The sequence below is a fragment of the Homo sapiens genome, chromosome 11 (assembly GCF_000001405.40).
Source record: "Homo sapiens chromosome 11, GRCh38.p14 Primary Assembly".
In the NCBI taxonomy this organism is placed as follows: domain Eukaryota; kingdom Metazoa; phylum Chordata; class Mammalia; order Primates; family Hominidae; genus Homo; species Homo sapiens.
The window spans coordinates 111346417-111352254 of record NC_000011.10 but is presented as its reverse complement, the minus strand read 5'-3'; the positions used below and the strand labels follow the sequence as shown (position 1 = coordinate 111352254).

Below are 5838 nucleotides of genomic sequence, written 5' to 3'. Positions count from 1 at the left end.
GTTGTCTGTTTTGGATTTTCTTTTTCTGCTTAAGATTAATTTTGACCCAGATTTCTCTGTGCCTGCCTTAAATCCCAGTACACAAATCTTGAATTGTTTTTATTCAGATATTTTTTAGATTTAAAAGTTCAAGACAGCATTTGAGAAGATGCATTTACATCTTTGTCGGTACTGATGGTAAGTAGGTGGGCAGGGCTCTCAGTCCTATTTGATTAAAAGCCCTGGTTTTCCATAAAAAAAGACACTATGCAAGATTTTTCAGCGTACCATTTGAGAGGGTGCAGAAGCAACCTCCGTAAAGGAGTTAAAGTTGGCAAAAACTAGCAAAGAAATATAGTACTTTACGTGTTTGCTAAGATAAATGGTCTATTTTTTCTCTTATCTTGAGGTCAAATGTCTTGGTAGTAGTCCATCTGGGTTTCTTCCCGAGTTACTCTGCTAAGATGGAAACATTTTCATAAAGATTTGTAGAGACTTTTCTGTGCCAAAGTGTTTCATTTCTTATCAAGTTGATCCCCCTAAGCTTTCAGTCCCATGTTAGACAGTGTGATTAGAGGAAGGAACTTAACACTAGTCTTGTTGACTTTGCAAATTGATCTGTTGCAGAAGAAGATAAAACCAGTCCCCACCGTGCCTGCAGTCCAGTTCTCCCAAGCAGGACATGCGCGTGGCTAGGGGGCTTGTTGTCCAGGAGAGTGGGGAGCTGAGGAGAGAGGGAAATCTTTTAACTTGATTGCTCTTCCTGTTATTCACGCCATCATGAGTAACTTCTCATGACGCTGAGTGTTCAGGGATAAGTTCTACCACGGGCATTTCCATAGCAGGCTCTGAAAATCCATCAATCAGGATCCAGGAGCATGTGACATCAGGCAGGAACCATGACCTAAGGAAGCCATCTCATAGGGCCAGACATCACCACGGAATGGAAATTCCAGAAGCCAATTAGTCCCCTCCAAGATCAGTCAATGGAGTGAGTTACAGTTTGGAAGGGGTCTCCCTTTCCTGGTGATTTTCTGAGTTTCTAAAGGCCTCTGAGCTCACTGCCTACATTGTTAATCTTCGTTGGAGTAATTGTTTTAAAATTATCTACACTATTCTGCTATGAGCCTTATTTCCAGATTTTGGAGGAGAGAGTACATCCAGTTATTTAGCCTTCTTTAGATTACCAGCACCATTGTCTTTTTGGCTTACTCTCCCTGAAAACCAGAACCTAGAAAAATGACATGGAAGGAAAGGGTTTGAGGTTTTATCTTCAGCTTTAGTGAGGCTCAAGTGAAAGGGAAGATCTATTAAAAATGCATTTGCCTTACTCTCTTTTGAGGTAGAGGCATGAAAAACTTGATCTGCAACTTGAAGAAGAGCATGGCCAGTGTGATGTAGATTAGTGCTTTACAAGATTCTGATCCATGAGGCTGTCCAATTCCAGCATAAAACAGGCTAGCAAGGAGACAAGTATGTGGCTGAGATGAAGAAGATAGACATCTGGAAAAGAACAAAATCACATGACCAAGTGGCTCAAATTCTCTGAACATCAGGTTGCACTCATCTCTAAGTGGAAATCTGAAGACATGTTCTAAAGCTAAACACAAATTTCTTGAAATCAGAAACCATAGATAACTTATTTTGCATTAATTTACTTCATTTGAGTGTCAAATATGAGACTCTCTCAATAATTTCTTGTTGAATTGAATTAACCGGGGGGATTCTCTGTCCACTGCTTCTAAATATTGATATAGATGATTGCAAGTTGATTATAATGAAGTCTCCTTTATTGGATGGACAGAGACATGATGCCTGGCAGATGTTTTTTCTGAAAGCTTGAGTAGAAATATTCATAAGCTGGTGATGTTAATCTGTTTGTCAGTTCTTCTACAGCTGTGGCTGCTGTGGAAGGTGTTTCATTCATTCATTCAACACAGATTTAAAAAAAAATTATTTTATTGAAAGTTGACAATTTAAATATGTTTGTGGGGTATGAATATAATACAATATATTATGGGATACAATTTACAGATTGATGTTATAATTTATGAATACAATATGAAATACTTAAATCAAGCTAACATATACATTATCTCCAATACTTATTTTTTGTGGAGAGAACATTTGCAGTTTACTCTCTTAGAAATTTTGAAATGTACAATACATTATTATTAATTATATTCAACATGCTGTGCAATAGATCTCAAAAAAAAAACTTATTCCTCCTTTCTAACTAAGACTTTGTACCTTTTGAACATCTCTCCATTCCCCCATACCCCAGCCTCTATAACTACCATTCTACTCTCTGCTTCTACGTGTTTGATTGTTTTAGATTCCACATATAAGGGAAAACATGCAGTATCTGTCTTTCTGTGTCTGGCTTGTTTCACTCAGCATAATGTTCACCATTCATCCATGTTGTTGCCAGTGATAGAAGTCCCTTAGTTTTAAAGGCTGAATAGTATTCCATTATGTATATATGCCACATTTTCTCTATCCATTCATTGCTTGAGGGGCACTTAGGTTGATTTCATAACTTGATTATTGTGAATAGTGCTGTGATGAACATTGGAGTGCAGATGTGTTTTTGACACACTGATTTAAAATCTTTTGGGTAAGTACCCAGAAGTGAGATTGCTGGATCATATGGTAATTCTAGTTTAAGCTTTTCAAGGAACATCCGTACAGTTTTCCATAATGGCTGTACTAATTTACATTCCCACCAACAGTGTACAAGGGTTTCCTTTTCTCTACATCCTTGCCAACACTTGCTATCTTTTGTCTTTTTGATAATAGCCATTCTGACAGGTGTGAAATGATATCTCATTGCGGTTTTAATTTGCATTTCTCTAATGATTAGTGATGTTGAACATGTTTTTCATAAATGTGTTAGCCATCAACACATATTTATTGAGTGCCAACTCTGGGCTAGGCAGGCATCTTGGATTATTATAGATGTCTGCTTTGAAATAGTTTTCTAGCTCAGTGATTTCTTTTCAGTATGAGTGTCCATTCTTATATATGTATATTTAGTTATTTATAAATTGTATATCCCACAAACATATAGCTAATTGTATGTATTATAAAACATTCACAATAATAGGAATTTAAAAAGATGAGGTAAATATAAAAATAAATATTTTAACTATTTTATTTATTGACTACAAAAATTCATTTGACCTCATTAACTGTAAATAACATCTAGAAGGAGCATCTTTGTGACATACTGATTTGAAGATCTGGGTTTAACTTCAATTGATTTCGGTGTTTTGTCATAGCTGAAAAAGATACCATACAAAGATGTTTAGATCCAAATAAAAATAGTATATCATTGATTATGCTAAATAAATTACAAAAGTTATTTTAAAATGTCTTCCATCAGTCATGCAAAGGTGTTATTTTAAAATTTGGTCAGCAAATTTCCACCTTAGCTGATGTCAACTGGTCTTACACACTTATTGAAGGAGTTGCCTTTTTAACCCATTGAGTTAAAACCACTCAAACTCTTTATTTGGAAAAATTTTCAGCAACCTAAAAAATTCTGCTTCTACATATTTTTTAAAAAGGCTGAAGATATGGAAGTTTTTATGGGTAACACACACCTATATTGTTGTTAGCAACAATATCACATGATGGAAACATTCCTAACCATCTACTAAATTTTCACTTGCTAAATGTTCCCCTCATTGCATGAATTTCAAAAAGCATTAATGTTATCTTGATCTTGATGGGCTGGATTAAGTACAAATTGTGTTTACTACTTAAAAAAATCTGCAGGTAACGTATTTTGGACAACCAACTTATCAACCAAAAAAGATCAGCAAATTTAGTGTGCTTGTATTTGTATTAAGTAAATAGATATTTAATATCTAAATTATAATTAATTTAATTTAATGATATAACTCATTAATTTAATTATATGATTAATTTAATTATATATAATTCATTGCTTTAATTATATACGATTAATTTAATTATATATGTCATTGCTTTAATTATATATGCTTAATTTAATTATCTATAATTCATTGATTTAATTATCTATATGTGATTCATTTTTAGGTTTCACAGTTCGTTGGGTGTCTTTAGTCAAGAGATAATCAGTGATTCTTTTTATGGCACAAAAGGGTCTCATATCATTATAAAGACTGTACATTTAGAGATGTTGGGTCCATAAAATTAACCACACTGATATCATCCTTAAATCTCAATATGTTGCAATATGATGGAAGTGAATTCACTGAGGGCATCACTGTTACCCCCCATTTCCATGCATAACTTCCTCTTGTCCCTCAGGACACTCTCAGAACCATGAGTCACACATAACTAAAGCGTGGGGAGCACCAGCACTACGGTGACCAACTCATCTTGGTTTGCCTGGGAATTTCTTGGCTTTAACATTGAAAGTCCTGTTCTAATATATCCTTCAGTCTGGGGCAAGCCTGGACTTTTGGTCACACCAGTCCACATTAATATTGTCTGGTCCACGTTAATGTGGACTGGTGTGACCAAATGTCCAGGTTTATTATTTATATGTATTTTCAAATACAAATAAATCTTAATTTCCTTTTTCTTTGCTTATTTTTTCTTTTACTTCTTTTTCTTTTTTAAAATAAATTAGAAGTTTCTTTTCGCATTCCAATGGATTGCCTCATGTGGTCCCTAAGACACATGTGTCCTACTTTGGTCTCTTTGGAGCTTATAAAAGCAATTCTTGCTTAATAGATTCCTCACTCAAATCCCGTCTGGAGACCACAGGAGAGAAGTTGGCTCTGGCCTGAGGAACCCTGACATTATTTGTTCTAAGATGGGACTGGGTCCAGGGGCATCAATGGTTCTGCCAGGGGGCCATCCTGGTGTTTGTCAGGCAGTAGCATGAGATACACCATCTTTATATGCTCTCCTACAACTAAAATCCGCTTCTCATTAAAAGTTTTCTTTATCCAAACTATCCTAAGGTGACACTCATATTAATATGATAGTGTTAACTCATCTGGGAAAACCTTAAGAGGAAGAAAACACACTTTTCATAAGATCCAGATGTTGTCTTTCCCCGCCCACGCCCATTAGGTGGAAATCTGTAACAGCAGTTCTCAAACTTGGCTGCACATTAGAATCACTTGGGAATTTGAAAAATCCCTGTGTCCAGACTGTGCCTTTGGCTGATTAAAATGGACTTGCTGGGAGTGGATGCAGGCATCAGGAATTTTTAAAGCTCTTCCAGGTGACTCCAATGTGCGGTGAAAGCTGAGAACCACCACACATCTACCTTTCCCCTCCAGTGGTGGGTGGGACTGTGGTTGAGTCTGAATGCTAAGAAAGAGTTCTCAGAGGCAACTTGTGTGTGGCATGTAGCATGGATGCTGTCCTATTCAATTAGAAGTTTTTTTTCCCCCTTACTAAACCAGGCAGGGTTATGGTAATTCTTACTCTCTTCATTAGAGAGTGAAAGCCCAGTGGTCTTAGCAGTCACTATAGGAGGTCTTTAGAGTAGACTGACTCAGCAAGGAGGTATCAGCTAAAGTGATTGTAAATGTCTTTTATCTGACAGCTTGACGACTTGCTTTTCATGTGTGTAGACCCATAAGCAAATACAAGAATGAAACATAAAGAAAATAGCAAGATGTCGGAGGCATCTGCCCCTTGTCTCACCTGTGTACTTTTAAACCTCAGTAGTGGATTGACATATTCAAATATGGGGCAAGCTGGGTCAGGTGAAAAGATAATGGAGACAGCAACTATGGTAGAACCCCAAATTTAAGACTTTATTTGAAGTCTACTCATCGCCTCCCTGGGCAAAGGGCTTTATGACATTCAAGCCAAACCAAAATTTAAAGAACGAGCCATATAGGACTG

General features: G+C 36.3%; 1 non-coding gene across 1 annotated transcript, besides 1 other annotated feature; it reads right to left on the bottom strand.

Moving 5' to 3' along the window:
• Window positions 1-4430: 4430 nt before the first annotated feature.
• MIR4491 (microRNA 4491) lies at window positions 4431-4498 on the bottom strand. Its single transcript, NR_039712.1, has one exon. It is a non-coding gene; the product is annotated as a microRNA 4491 (primary transcript).
• Window positions 5178-5297: an enhancer, noted in NCBI's record as "active region_5505". NCBI's record gives its function as "activates an Ori minimal core promoter by ATAC-STARR-seq in GM12878 lymphoblastoid cells {active_cell/tissue: GM12878}" and the evidence as "EXISTENCE:reporter gene assay evidence [ECO:0000049][PMID:35858748]".